This window comes from Homo sapiens, chromosome 16, assembly GCF_000001405.40.
Source record: "Homo sapiens chromosome 16, GRCh38.p14 Primary Assembly".
Classification (NCBI taxonomy): Eukaryota; Metazoa; Chordata; class Mammalia; order Primates; family Hominidae; genus Homo; species Homo sapiens.
In genome coordinates this window covers 79,911,955-79,927,824 of record NC_000016.10, presented here as the reverse complement: position 1 = coordinate 79,927,824, position 15,870 = coordinate 79,911,955, and the positions used below count along the sequence as shown (strand labels likewise).

At 37.8% G+C, this 15,870-nt stretch overlaps 2 annotated features.

Moving 5' to 3' along the window:
* Positions 8,985–9,044: an enhancer, noted in NCBI's record as "active region_11165". NCBI's record gives its function as "activates an Ori minimal core promoter by ATAC-STARR-seq in GM12878 lymphoblastoid cells {active_cell/tissue: GM12878}" and the evidence as "EXISTENCE:reporter gene assay evidence [ECO:0000049][PMID:35858748]".
* Positions 12,339–12,633: a silencer, noted in NCBI's record as "tiled region #4834; K562 Repressive DNase matched - State 7:EnhWF". NCBI's record gives its function as "represses a minimal TATA promoter and a strong SV40 promoter by Sharpr-MPRA in K562 cells {active_cell/tissue: K562}" and the evidence as "EXISTENCE:reporter gene assay evidence [ECO:0000049][PMID:27701403]".

Below are 15,870 nucleotides of genomic sequence, written 5' to 3'. Positions count from 1 at the left end.
TTTAAGCCATGGAGTGACATGGTCAGATTTGTGTTTCAAAATGACCAGAAGAGAATGGATTTGTAGGAGACATGAAAAGGGATGTGGCACATCCATCAAATGGCTACTGCAGAGGTGTAGGCAAGAGGGGAGGGTGACTAAGACAAGGGCAGGGGCAGTAGAGACAGAAATGGGCAGTCAGATTGAGACAGAAGTTGGGGATTTGATCAATGCAGCTCACGTTTGACTGCACGTGAGGAAAAGGAAATAACAGGTCCAATTAACATTTTTGTTTGTTTGTTTTTGACCTGAGTAACATTAGTGGTAGTGATACCACTCAAGGAAATGGGAGAAGATAGGAGAGAAGCAGGCTAGAGTTAGAATGTAAAAATTATGAGCATTCTTTGGCTTATGTAAAATGTATGATGATTATAAACTTCTAACAGGAGATGGGGGAAGACAGAGATGTATAGGTCTGAACATCCAAGACGGACTTTGGCTGGATATTTTGCTGGAAAGAGAGAAAGTAAGTATGCAAAACCATGAGAGTGGATGAGATTATGGAGAAAAACAGGACGAGGGTAGCAGCAGAAGCTTATGAAGATGTGAGTTCCTTGAAATCATCTCTGCTAATTCAAGACATTGCAGGCAGTTCGAAGTTCTGTCTGGGGAACAGGTGTCTGAAACAAGTTTTGTATATAATAGGATGGGACTCAGAAAAGTAAGCTGTGCACACAGACAATGCACCAATTCCAACAGGAGGATTTACACCATTTGTCCTCCTGATGTGTCACGATGCAGGGAAATGTCAGCTGTACATCCACAGAGGATTTATGTCAGCACTCCATCGCGGCCAGTTTTTGAAGCCCATCGCAGGAGGGATTTATTAGGCCCTGGCGCTAGATCACTTTTTCTTAGGATTTTGACTGCAACACATTCTTCTTTTGATTATTTAAGCTCTCGTTATTTTTTAGCCCATTGCCACAAAGTCTTCTGAGTAAAATGGAAGAGCTTCCTAGTGCCCAATAAGAGAAAGAAAATACAAGAAGGAAAATGTTGGTAAGAGATTAATTTTGCTCTAAAAACGCCTCCATGTGGACATTATCTTAGTGGAATTGCTTACAAAAATGTATTAGCTAACATCAAGAGGCAGTTTAGTGGAAGCCGGAATGGTCCCCGATCCCAGCTCTGTCACTTACTAGCTGTGTTTCCTGGCACAACTCACTTAACTTCTCTGTGCCTTCTAATCACATCTTTATATTAACATTCCTAATACATAGAAGCATTTCCTTAATGTTCACTCTCATCATTTTTATATCAGTTATAGGAGCCCAGGGCTGCGAAGGAAATCTCTATTTTGTCCATGATCATTTACTGATTAATTCAGTGGCTCCAGGCAACCAAGTATCTTGAACCATATTTTCCTAGAACAGAAAGAGTTTATTTTATTCAAAGCCCCCACAGAGACCATAAAATTGCTGCTCTAAAATATGAGAGAAAAAACCCCTTATGTGCAAAGGTATTTATCACAGCATCGTTTATGTTACAGAAAAAGCGTAAACAAATTAAATTTCCAATAACTAAAAAATGGTTAAATAAAATTTGGCCCATTAACTTGATGAACTATTAAACAATTAAAGTTACTTTATGTGCATGTGAATTAGTATATGTACAAATGTACTTTATGTATGCCAACATGTTATTTTTGCTAAAAAATAATTGTAACTGGGCATGAGAGAGAAACACTAAATGTACATTGTTTATTTCTGTAATTATTGAATGTTATTGAGTAGTGGGATTTATTTTTTTCTTTATATAAAGAAGAAACATATAAAACATATAAATACATAAAGAAGATCATTCTAAAAATACAACTTGTTTTTGACACAGAACTTGTAATTTTAGAATCATCTTTATTGAGGTAAAATACATATATGTAATAATAGAATATATACATATTTATAATAGAATTCATAAATTCTGAGAGTGTAATTCATGAGTCTTCATAAATGTATCCAGTCATATAGCCATCTCCACAATGGGCATTTCCACTCCCCCGTGTAACCATCTCCATAATAAGGCATTTCCACTACCCTGTGTCCTCTTTTTCTCCCTCATGCTTTTTGCGTTTATTCCCTCCTCCCATCTCAGTCCTGGAAAAACACTGATTTACTTTCCATAACATTAATTTTATTGTATTTAGAATTTCATATAAATGGATTCTACTGTCTGGTTTTTTTTTTTTTTTTTTTTTTTCTGAGGCAGAGCCTCACTCTGTCCCCCAGGGTGGAGTGCAGTGCAGTGGTGCGATCTCGGCTCACTGCAACCTCCGCCTCCTGGATTCAAGGGATTCTCCTGCCTCAGCCTCCCGTGTAGCTGGGACTACAGGCGTGCACCACCATGCCTGGCTAATTCTTGTATTTTTAGTAGAGAGGGGGTTTCACTATGCTGGCCAGGCTTGTCTCAAACTCCTGACCTTGTAATCTACCTGCCTCGGCCTCCCAATGCATGCTATATTTGAGTCTGACTACCTTCAACTAACATAATACTTTGGACGTTCAACTACGCTATTGCATTTATCAATACTGTGTTCCCTCTTATTGCTGAGTAATAATCCATTGTATGGATCTATCACCATCTATTCACCAGTAGACAATTGTGTGAGTTGCTTGTAGTTATGGGCCATATTGAATAAAGCATCTATGAGATCTACTTGATTTACTACTCTATAAGCAGTACTAGTCTTTGCATGAACATAAATTTTCACTTAACTCTGGTAAATACCTAGGAATGGGATTCCTGGGTTATGTACTAAATGTATTATGTTGGTGCAAAAGCAATTGTGGTTTCACCATTAAAAAAAATGTATGTTCCAATAGTTCATATGAATGTATGTTCCAATAGTTCCACATCCTCACCAGCATTGGTATTACTTGACTTTTAGCATTTTGGCCATTTTAGTGAATTGCATAGTTGTATCTTTTTGTGATTTTAATTTGTGTTTTTCTAATAACTAATGATATGAGTCTATTTCACATACATATTTCTCATTTGTATCTCTCTTCTTTGGGAGAAGTGTCCCAGTTTTTTAAGAGTTTCTTTTTATTATTATTGTTGAGTTGGAATACTTATTTTGATGTTCTGGTTATGATTCCTTTATCAGGTATTTGTTTTACAAATATATTCTCCCAGTCTTAGCAGTTTTTGTTAACAGAAAACTTTTAACTTTGATGAAGTTCAGTGTATTAAATATTTTTCTTTTAAACTTCATTATTAGTGTTTTAGATTACAAAATAAATATATTTACTAGTCATGGGACTATCTTGGTTATCTACTTCTTGAAGAAACTGGTTGTTTGTGTCTTTCAACAGATGTGTCCATTTTATCAATGTTATCAAATTTATTTAAATGAAGTTCATAATATTCTCTTACCCTTTTAATGTTTGAAATATCGGTTATTTTAGCACTTTATATTAATAATTTGGGTCTTCTCTTCCTCTTTCCACCTCCCCTTCCCTTTGCTCTCTCTTTTATGAGCACACACATAGCTATGCATGTGGAGTGTGTGTGTGTGCATGTTCAGTCTGGCTAAAGATTTACCAATTGTATAGATTTTTTTCAAGAACCTGCTCTTGTTTCATTAATTTTCTTTATTGTTTTTTGTTTTTCTACTTTATTGATGATTGCTCTTATCTTTATAATTTCCTTGCTTCCTGTCCTTATTTAAAATTTGCTTTTCCAAGTTATTAAAGGGGAAAGTAAGGTCACTTATTTGAGACCTTTCGTTTTTCTAATGTGAGCAATTAATGATATAATTTTCCCTCTAAGTACTGCTTAAGCTGCATCTCACAAATTTTGATACATTATGTTTTTATTTTAGTTCATTTCAAAATATTATCTACTTTGTCTTATTATTACATCTTTGATTCATAAATTACTTAATAAATTGCAGTTTCATTTTTCAAATGTAAAGATTTTCCATATATTCTGCTGTTATTATTCATTAATTTTATTGTAGCCAAATAAAACCTTTCACATGATTAAAATTGCCTTAAATTTATTAAATCTTGTTTTATAGCCTCGAATATCATTTTACTTGGCAAATATTTCATATGCGCTGAAGAAGAATGTGTATAATGCTGTTGATGAGTAGAGTGTTCTACAAATGTCAAGGAAGTCAAGTTGGTTGATAGGGTTGTTTCTGTGTTCTCCATTCTTACTGATTTTCTGTCAACTCATCCTATCATTTACTGAGACAGGAGTCTCGAAGTCTACAAATATAATTGTGGACTTGTCAATTCTTCATTTTAGTGATACCATATTTAGCTTTATGAAATTTGAAGCTCTCCATTAGGTTCATATACATTTAGAGTTGCTATGTCCTGTTGATGAATTGCCCCCCTTCACCATATAAAATCCGCTTTATTATTCCTAGTCATATTCTCTGTTCAGAAGTCTAATTTTTCTGAAATTTATATAGTCTCTCCAGCATTCTTTTAATTACTGTTTGGTCAATACATCTTATACCATCCTTTTGTTTTTACCTATGTGTGTTTCATGTTTACAGTGTTAGAAACATATAATCAGGTGTGATGGCTTATTTTATATGTCAGATAAGCTATACTATGGTTCCAGTTGCTTGGTCAAATGCCATGGTAGATGTTGCTGTGTAGGTATTTTGAGATGTGATTAATATTTAAATCAGTAGACTTTGAGTAAGCAAATTACCCTCTATATCGTGGATAAGCGTCATCCAATCAGTTGAAGGCTTTAAGGGGAAAGACTGAGGTACCCCACTGAAGAAGTAACTGCCTCCACACTGCCTTTAGATTGAATATTGAAGCATCGTTTCTTCTTGTGTTTCCAGCCTGCCATCTGCTTGGACTTGCCAGCTTCCATAATCACATGAGCCAATTCTTTAAAGCAAATGTCTCTCTCTCTATATATATATATACATGTATGTATATACTCACATATATATATATATACACATACATATATATACACACACATATATACATACACACACATGCATATATATATACACACACAGGTGTGTGTGTATACATTCTGTTGGTTCTGTTTCTCTGCAGAACTCTGAATAATACATTGGGTTTTGCTTTTTTATACCGTGCAACAATCTTTGACATTTAACTGGAGTGTTTAGGCTATTTACATCTATGGTAATTACTGATATGGTTGAGTTTTACTCTATCACCTGGCTATTTGTTTTCTATTTATTCCTTCTTTTCTTTCTTCATTACTTTTTTTGCCTCCTGTTGAACTAATTGAGTATTTTAACATTCTATTTTATCTCTATTATGGCATATTGTTCTACCTGTTTATTTCCCTTTCAAGAAGTTGTTGTACTATATGTATATATGGTATTACAGCGTATACATACTTTATACATAAAAACATACATATGAAGTATAGTACTACGTACATGTATAGATATGTAGTGGTATCATATTTAAGGGTAGGGTGTAAGACTATATATAAAATACTATATATAGTGTATACTGTATATAAAATACTATATATATGCATATATATACTGTGTAATACCGTATATGCATAGTATATATAAAAACTACAGCCTACCTTCAAATATTACACTGCTTCATGTATAGTATAACACCCTTACAACTATAAAACTTATTTTTCCCACTCACCTGTTGTGCTGTTTTTGTAATATACCTTATTTGTGTAAATCCCACAATAAAGTTGTTATTTTGCTTTGAATAGTCAGTTATTTTTAAAATGAGAAAATACTTATTTTTACATTTAAAATTTCTTATACTCTCCATTAATTTGTGAAAATCCAAATGTTTATCTTTTTTTAAAATTTCTGACAAAGAGACTCATGTAATTTTTATCTTTTTCTTCTGTATATAATGTGTCATATTTCTTTGGATTTTTTAAGGTTCTATTTCTATTTCTAGATTTCAGCCATTTGATACTGATGTACCTTGGTGTGGTTTTCTTTGGGGTTATTTTGATTGAGGTTCACTGAACTTATTGTATGTGTGAGTTTATGATTTTCATCAAGTTTGTAGAATTTTCAAATATTGTTTTATTTTTTTTTCTGTTTTCTTCATCTTTTTCCTGGACTTCAGTTATTTGTATATTAGATTACTTTATATTTTATTATACCTTACTTTTCCACTGTTTATTTTTTTCCATGTCTTTTCTGATTTGTTTACTTCCTATTGCTATATCTGCAAGTTCATTAAGTTTTTCTTCTTTAGTGTCTATTCTGTTAATCTTAATTTTCTTTCATTTAAGATATTGTAATTTTCATTTCTGGAAGTTCTGTTTTTAATGTAACATTCAATTTCTCTATTCATCATACTCATATTTTCCTTTACCTTCTTGAACATATGGAATCTTTTAATAGTAATTGTTTTATAATAACAGTTCATAGTAGCAATTATTTCTAAGTCTGCCTCAATTGATTGATTTCCTCCTGGTTACAGGTCATATTTTCCTGTTTCTTTGTATGTGTGGAAATTTTGTAGTAGATTAATTAAGTGTAGAATATTGTAATATGCTGTCAATTGTAATACATTGTTACGGCTCTCAGTTATTTAGAATTAGTTGAATACTTTTAAGGCTTACTTTTAAACTCTGTTATTCAGATTAGTATTTAGTCTGGGGCTAAATTTGCCCTAATACTAAGGCAATACCCTTCTGAGGATTCTACTTAATGCCTCGTGTTTTAACAAGATCTTTTCCCACTGCTGGTAGAAAGATGAACAATTTTCAGTTCTGTGTGAGCTCCAGGAATTTTTCTGCCTTCTTCTCTCCTGGGTCACATCCTCTCACTCACGTACAAATTAATACTCAGCCAAAGATTCAAGGGCACCCCCTGCAGATTTCTTGAACTCTTTATCCATCTACCTCCCTTGCCATCTTACTCTGTCCCACAAATTCTAACTGCCTTGACTTTTCTGAACTTTGACCTCTAGTTCTCTGCAACTCAGCAAGACTGAGCTCAGTCTGTTCAGGTTCTCCATCTCTGTATTCAGTCCTGGTAACTGAACCCAGGCAGTAATCTGTTAAAATTATAGAATTCACGTTACTTTCTTACCTTCTTTCAGGAATCATAGCCGTATAAGGCCTGTGGTTAATAAGTGTCTAAAAACTATTGACTATATGTATGAAAAATTATAGAAATGTATAGATATTAAAAAAATCATTAGAAAGTGATTAGAAAAACAATGTATATGTTTTTAAAAATTTTAAATTTTTTTCTAATTATTTAAGGTGAGAGGATACATCTGTTCCCTGTTATTTTGTGTAAGTCAGAAATGGAAATCTGTAGTTATTATCTATTTCAGTGCTTTTCTGACAACTAATATTTTAAATCATAAATTGCACATATTTTCTAAAAATATGGAATATGTATTTAGTAGTGAAGGCAGGGTATATGTGCATGCGCAACTTATTGTCATTGTGCCAGCTGTATGAAAGATAAGTATGAAAAGTTACTGCAGGTCCTACTTGTGGTTGTCTTTAGATGTTAAAACTTTGCAGCCTATGTTTCTTTCTTTCTTTTTTGGTGTTTTTCCAATATGTTTTAATGGAAATGTAAAAATTGTTTTTATATTGGAAAAATAAACTTTACTTGCAATCATTAATGCTATTGAATAATTTACATGGAGGAAGAAATTCCAAGCAGAAAGCTCTTACCTATAAAAGAATTATGTTTACATGAGTTAATGAATATAGAGATCATCTTTTCACGTACCCAATCTTTTCATGTACAGTTTCCCGTCATACTTCATTTATTTCTGAAACGTATTTAGAAAATACATTCATAAAAAATACATTTTCATATTTTATTTTTTCCAGAATATGTTTGGAAAATACATTTGTAAAAAATACATTTATTTTTTAAAAACCAAAGGTATGATAAAATAATAAAATGATTAAAATGAAGGTAAAATTTCAAGATACAGAAAGTGGAATGGTTAGGAAATATATGGGTTGAGAGGAGAATAGTGGGAGGGGCATGGAAAGGAAGCAGTGTAATTTTAGCAGAAAACCTAGACTAAGGGAAGCTTCGGAGATTGAAGACCAAACTTATCTGTGAGCTTACCAGTAGCCACAACAAAGAAACAGTGGGATTTGGAGCTCTCAGAATAAATCAAAAGTTTTTTCATCTGCAGATGCTTTTTTTTCAAATTTTATTTTTTCTAATTCTAACTTCTAAAATAATATTTTATATTAACTAGATCAAAGAAACACTCAGCAAATAGAATTGTTGTGCTCAGCTGTTTAAGAACAAAAAAAGAATGCCAGGCATAGACCCTTTCTTAATGAAACTGAGTTCCAAGACAGTGCGAGAACAGATAAGTTACACCTGGACTGGTTTCAGATTAAAACAAGACAGTGTATGATTGACTTTAAAGTCAAAAGCATGCATGATCCCAGTTTAAAGTAGACCTTTGGTTCTTAATGAACAAGTGAGTGTGGATAAGCGCAGGAGAAGAATGAGGCATTCTAAGAAAAATGCAAAACACAGGGAAACAAAGAGGCAGTTAAGGACATTGCAAATGGCCTGGGAAGGTCAGATGATTGCAAAGTGGTCCTGAATAATTACATAATGGGGGGTGCATTGACCATTGATAGCAGACGACAGCCCTGGGCTCAAATCCTACCTCTGCTAAATTAAACCAAAACCAAAACAAAACAAAACAAAACTAAAGAAATGCCACACCCACTACCTTGAAGTTTTAATAGGGCTGGCTGAAGTTTCAGCTTTTAATAGATGCTATCTACCAGGCTCTGCTGTGTGTAATACAGCTTTTTCTTCCATGTATTGACGTAATAACGCATTTTGGACCAGCAGAGGTAAAACCAAAAGTCTTAAGCTATTTAGAATTAGCTGGATTTCTTTAAGGCTTACTTTACTAAGAAAGTTTCCTGACCCAGACCAGCAATTTCAGTACAGAAAGTTCATCTTGTCCGTGGCTGCAAAGGGGAGTTTGGGTTTGTGGAAAGGGCCACAAAGGGACCTGGATGGAGGAGGTTTCTAGTCTGGCCTTTAGATGGGGCTGAGTTAGAGAGCCTCTGGATAGAAGACTGAGGCAAGAAACAGGCATGTTGCTGGTGTGTGTGTGTGTGTGTGTGTGTGTGTGTGTGAGAGAGAGAGAGAGACAGAGAGAGAATGAGAGAGAGTGTTGTTGTTGTTGAATCCTCTGGGAAGAAGCAAGCTGCTATAGGACTGAATAAGAGAAAGGATGAAGTTCCTTGGATGAGTTGTGACAATCTTTGGCCCTCACCCTTTGTTTCAGCAATGATGCAGTTAGGAAAATACAAATACACATTAGGTGTTTTAGCTAAATAATTTAATAAAAGAACTTGTTTGTACAGTTACTGGAAGATTTAAAAGGCAAAAAAAGGGAACACTGAGGCCATACCTCAGTAATAGCTGTAGGATGCAGCTGACAGCTCTAGGGTGATATAAGGTATATCAGAATTCAGAAGCTCAGTGGAGAGGCCTGGTAGGGCCGAGGCTCAGACCTCTGAGTTGCCTCCCAACTTGTGGCTCATGGCAGGGTCCCTTGGAGCTGAGACCCAGAGGTCTGAGAAAAGGGTCTTCCTGTTGGTGTTGGCACTTCCACAGAGGTATGAATTGGTCTAGGCTGGAGCCTGGAGTCAACAGCTGCTGCAAGGAGGAAGTATTACTGCCAAGGTGAAGTGAGGCTGTGAGGAACAGAAGCCAAGAGAAGGCCGAAATCCCTTCTCCCTACATTATCCTGCAGTCTGCCACTAGCCCCATCTATCCGCAGAGCCCAACCTAGAGCCAGCTGCAAAACTGAAATGTGGAGTGGGGAGACCGAGCCCCAGCCTCACAAAGCCTGGAGAGAAGCTGGGGATGTGAATGAGCCACGGGGACTTCACAACGGAATTCCCATCAGGACCTGACAAAGGCTGGCACAGGCCAGGTGCGGTGGCTCATGCCTGTAATCTCAGCACTTTGGGATGCTGAGGCAGTCGGATCATTTGAGGTCAAGAGTTCGAGACCAGCCTGGCCAACACGGTGAAACCCCATCTCTACTAAAAATACAAAAATTATCCGGATGTGGTGGCATGTGCCTGTAATCCCAGCTACTCGGGAGGCTAAGGCAGGAAAATCCCCTGAACCTGGGAGGCGGAGGTTACAGTGAGCTGAGATCGTGCCACTGCATTCCAGCCTGTGGCACAGATGCTCACTAGGGATGCCCAGTATCTGCCTGAAAACAGAAGACAACAGGCATGTTTTGATGAATGACTGTAGGCTACATCAAAAAATTCACCTTTTTTGTTTTTTACTTTATTTTATCCTTACAATAACCCAAGAGGTGAGTAGTATTATTCGCATTTTACAAGTGGAGGATTTGAAACTCAGACAGGTCATGTAACTTTCTACGGGTCTCAAAGCTAGTAGATGGGAGAGGCAGGAAATAAACTCAGAATGTGGTGATTTCAGTACTTCCATTTTCACTAAAAGGCAACTCTCTCTCCTGCCTCTTTGGTCCTACTACCTCAGTTACACATTGATCACACAATACCGTCTTGGAATATAAGTTCCATGTGGTCGAGACTTGCTCAAAGCTTGATGTGGTCACTGGCTGCTATGTCACTGGTCACTATGCCTATGACCACATCCAGGTGGTCGCATAGGTACACGGGCACTCAGTCAATACTCATTGAATAATCAAATGGCATATTTATGTTCCTTTAGGCTTCTTTATGTATTATATGGAAGTATATCCGGATATATAATTTAATACCGAAACATAATGTGTGATACGTGTGTGTGTCTAAAACATATTTTGGCACTGCAGAGAGAAAAGCATTTGAAGTCAGAAGTATTGCCTGCTAAGAGACAACATGTAGCTTTCAAATGAGGCAAAAGTGAATGCATATTTGATTTTCAAATTAACTATCCCATTAAACTATGGTCTCTTCTTCCCCTTCATCCCACCCTGTCCGCATCCCACCGCCCCCACACCAAGCTTAGCCTATCATTAGCTGCTATCTGGAATCGACAGTGGAGTAATTTGAACTCTGGTTCCCAAGGGCCTATTCTTTTACTTCCTGCTGTAGGAATACGGTGTGTATTGATTAGATATCAGACTGTAATGGGCTTCCAATCTCTCTGCTTTAAGATATATGATGGAGATGACAGGAAACAGATACCCTGTTACTACTTGTAAATAGTCTGGTTGAACAAAATGGTTGGTAACCACTTCGGTGCCGTTCACTTTTTTACCATCAGGAAGGAGCTCCTTTTTTCACTCTTTCTAATATGACTTCTTGGAAAGGGAAGGCACAGAGTTTTCTTTTTGGGCCAGACCCGTTGACCAACATGGTCATCTCCTTTAGAAACTATTGGCTGGGCGCGGTGGTTCACGCCTGTAATCCCAGCACTTTGGGAGGCTGAGGCGGGTGGATCACAAGGTCAAGAGATGGAGACAATCCTGGCTAACATGGTGAAACCCCGTCTCTACTAAAAATACAAAAATTAGCTGGGCATGGTAGCGCATGCCTGTAGTCCTAGCTACTTGGGAGGCTGAGGCAGGAGAATCACCTGAACCTGGGACGTGGAGGTTGCAGTGAGCCGAGATTGCACCACTGCACTCCAGCCTGGAGACAGAGTGAGATGCTGTCTAAAAAAAAAAAAATACTATTCAGGGAGAAGGATTTCCCTTAAAAGTTCATGCTTGCTTGGAGAGTTGTTCACAGACTACTCAGAAACAAAACCCACAGCATCTGCAGCCCACTACCACCTGGGTGACTGATACAAGGTAATGGGGGTTGGAGGCTGAGTGGAGGCAGAAGCAGCCTCCTCCCCTTCTGAGCAAGACCTGGGGCAAGTCACTTGTAGAAGCCTCAGTTTCCACATCTGTAAAATGGGAGAATAGTCTTGTTCACAGAACTGCTGTCAGGATTGAGTAAAATAATGCACTTGGAGTAGCTAACATAGTGCCTGGGGCTTGGTTAGTTTTCTTTCCTTTCCTCACTTTACCCCATCTACCAAAACTGATTCCCTCTGCTGGAATTCTGACAGTTCTTCAGTTTGTAGAAGAGGCAGGTACACATGGAGTGTCTCCTTGTGTGGCATCATTCAAACCTCAAATAGCACATAATGGTGGCATTTGTAAGGCAAATGGACTGAAGCTCCCAAGCTGAAATAAAATTCCTCTGGAACTGAGTAAACACTGGTTCTATGTTGCTGATGGCAGCCTGGCTCATGCGTTGATGACTCCGCAATTTGAAGTTGGCCTGGGTTTGTTTTGCAGATTTTGCCTACTTTCTGGATGAGGCTTGGGATATTTGTGTGTATTAGAAGGACCCTGGCTCACAGCTTAATAATGCAAAGGTAAATATGAAGTTAACCAGTGACATCCTTCTCCTAGTGGCCCAGCAGATGCCAAGATAAAGGTTCACATGCCTCCCTTGTTGATATGGGTTTGATTTTGCACAGATGGGAGTGTCTTCTGTTGAGTCTTCAATTTCCTTCCCTTTTCTTATCAGCAAAGATGACTAAAAAACAAGTTGAATGGTGGTTCAAGAAGCATTTCAACAGAAGATTGTAAACTTTTAAGGGGGAATAAACTGTGAGTTTATACATTTTTAATTACACCAGGCTTAAAGCTCATATTCATTTATTACCAGAGATATCAGCCAGTTATCTGCCACTTCTCTAATCTTTGCCCTGAAAACAGACTTGACCCTGGTCAAGTAAGATAAATGGAGAATTAAAAATGGCTACCTTCTGGGAATTGATTGGAAAAGAGTGGGAAGGCAAGCCGGGCTCAAATTAATCCTGGACTCTTTCCCAGTCTTCCTGCAGCTACGGCTTCTGTGGGTGAAGGCAAAATCAAGCGGACCTAACCTCTGTCTTTGCTAACATTTCCTCATTTCTCCTTCTTCCCCTGCCCCCATTAGAATGAGGGGATCAATAAAGCTAGCTTTGAGAGAGGAAGGAACCGATCTTCATGCTGGTATCAAATGCCGTATCTCTGCGGCATGTGGAGAAGGGCCAGCGTGCTGTAAGTGACCTAATTGCACATTCCCCAAAACACCGAATTCATATTATTGGCTTCATCAGCATTGTCCCTCCTAGAGGTTGCTCTTAAGTAGTTCAGGAGACGATTGAAGGAAAGAACTATGACTGTTACCTTCAATACAGAGGAATCTGGCCAAGAAAGAAGCAGAGACACACATAATGATGGTCGCCATTTATTGAATGCTTTCCTTGTACCAGACCCCGTGCTATATTCCTGATGTCCAGCATCTCATTTCATTCTTGCAACAATCATTTTAAGATGGTCTGATTATTCCTGTTCTACAGATGACGGTAAATGAGACTCAGATAAATTAGGAAACTTATTCCCATTTATACAGCCGGTAACTGCAACAGAAGGTTTTAGACACAGGTCTGTCAGGCCGACCACCCCGCCCCCAACCCCCAAAAATAACGAGTGCCCCTGATATCCCATCATGTCAAGTTACTAACAGCAAAACAAAAAAGAAGTTACAAAGAGGTTATTTAATCTAGCCCTTCATTTTTTAGATTCAGAAACAAGTCCACAGTGGGAAAATGACTTGCCTGAGGTCACAGAGCAGTGCCATAACTATGTCCTTTGATTTTGGACTGTCCTTGGACCCCCCATACCCTTAGCAAAGATACAACGTACTTATCCTCTACTCCAGTTCCCAGGCCGCACGTACGAGCAGGAAATACATCAGTTCTCAATACCATGGCTTGGTGGGGGCCAGAAAAATGGGGAAACAGAAGGATGACATAGTAGAAGTAAGTTTAATGGGTTACTTTATTTATAACAAACATTTATCAAGCACCTAAAATATACAACGCACAGTTAAGGTAACAGGTTTCTGCTATGAATAACAGGTGTACTAAAGGTTGGCCTCTGTGTGCCTGTGTGTGTGTGTGTGTGTGTGTGTGTCTGTGTGTGTGTATGTGTGTGTGTGGTGTGTGTTTGTGGGCTTCTTTTCTTACACTCCAGTAGCTGTATCAAAGACAAATTTGAGCTTATAAGTAAAAGGAGGTAGAAGTGAGGTAAAAATGATATTAAAGTAACAAGAACAGTGACAATGTGTAGACAGGCGCTACAAATTAAGCCACAATTTTTTTTTTTTTTGAGACGGAGTCTCGCTCTGTCGCCCAGGCAGGAGTGCAGTGGCGCGATCTCGGCTCGCTGCAAGCTCCACCTCCTGGGTTCATGCCATTCTCCTGCCTCAGCCTCCTGAGTAGCTGGGACTACAGGCGTTCGCCACCACGTCCGGCTAATTTTTTTGTATTTTTAGTAGAGACGGAGTTTCACCGTGTTAGCCATGATGGTCTCGATCTCCCGACCTCTTGATCTGCCCGCCTCGGCCTCCCAAAGTGCTGAGATTACAGGCGTGAGCCACTGTGCCCGGCCAAATGTTTGTTTTATAACTAACCTTGATCACCTACCGTAGATAAATTTTTTACAGTATTGAGGTAATCAAGTGTTTGGGATTCGCTACTTATAAAAGTAAATAAAAACAAACCAAAATTAAAACATCTCTAGATTGGATGCTTTTACTTAGGAGTAAAATGCTGAGTATTTTAAAAAGAAGGAATAATGACACCATTATTTGCTAAGTGCCTACTCCCGGCCAGGCATTCCATAGACATTACTTCATTCAATCCTCTCGAGACTCTTGCAAGGTATTATTATCTCCATTTTACAGATGAGAAAACTAAAGCAGTAATGACATCTCACTAAGGCATGTAGCCAGACAGCGGAAGTGGTCAAATTCGCTGCAGAACTGATACTATTGGAAAGGCACCTCTCCACCTACTCACAAGAGGAGATTGAGAGTCTTATAATCATGATAAAATCATCAAAATAAAAATAAGAATTCACATGTATTGAGCATTTGCAATGTACCAAGTACTGTGCTGAGCAAATGTCAGACATTATGCTAGTTGATTCTCACAACAACCCCACGAGGGAAGTACTATTATCAGCTCCATTTTACAGGTGCAAAAACAAAAGCACAGAGAGGGTAGGCAACCTGCCCAGGATCACACAGCTGGTAAATGATAGACCGAGGATTCGAATCCAGTAAGTGTAACTCTAGTTCTGCACTCTTATCTGTTACACTGCTTTGTCTCTACAGCAAGAGAAAATAACAGTTCAACATAAGTAAGAGAACAATGAAATTGAGAATTCTAGAAATATCAAAATATCACTGCAGATATGGTTTAATTGGGAAGCAATTGCCCAAGATAGCATTTTCACTTAAAAATTGGCTGAAATTTTGGCCCATTGACATATATTCTATTATTTCCTTCTCTAAGACTTTGAGCACACTGCGCCAAAAGCTCTTATTTTTACACAGTGATGATTAAGGGACTTCTCATTTTCCTTAATGTGTTTCTTACTTATCAAAATTGTTCCAAGTGATCCTGCGGGTGAAGAAACCATGTTCACAATTCCCTAGTATAAACGTATGTAGAATTTCTGTGTAGCTATACCTTGAATTTCTTTTCTTCAGACTGCAAACTGTTGAGTTTCTTCTCCCCATTTGTCTCCTCTCACGGTTTCCTAGGGGCTTCCAGAACGCTCTCTGAATACCCTAGTCCATTTCACCCTTTATGCTTCAAGGAACAAGAATGTTTTGCTATAAGAATATTGGGTCTTTTTCTTTGCTGCTTGGTTTGTCTGGCTCATAAATAATTCTACAGGTCACCCATAGCCGAGACAAGCAACCTCTCTTCGTAAATGCCAACAATCAGTTCACAGAAATATCATTACTATTCCATTGATGAGAGTCACCCAATACATGGAAGGTCAGATATGGGAATGGAGTCGGCACTTAACTAATTTTTGCTGCTAC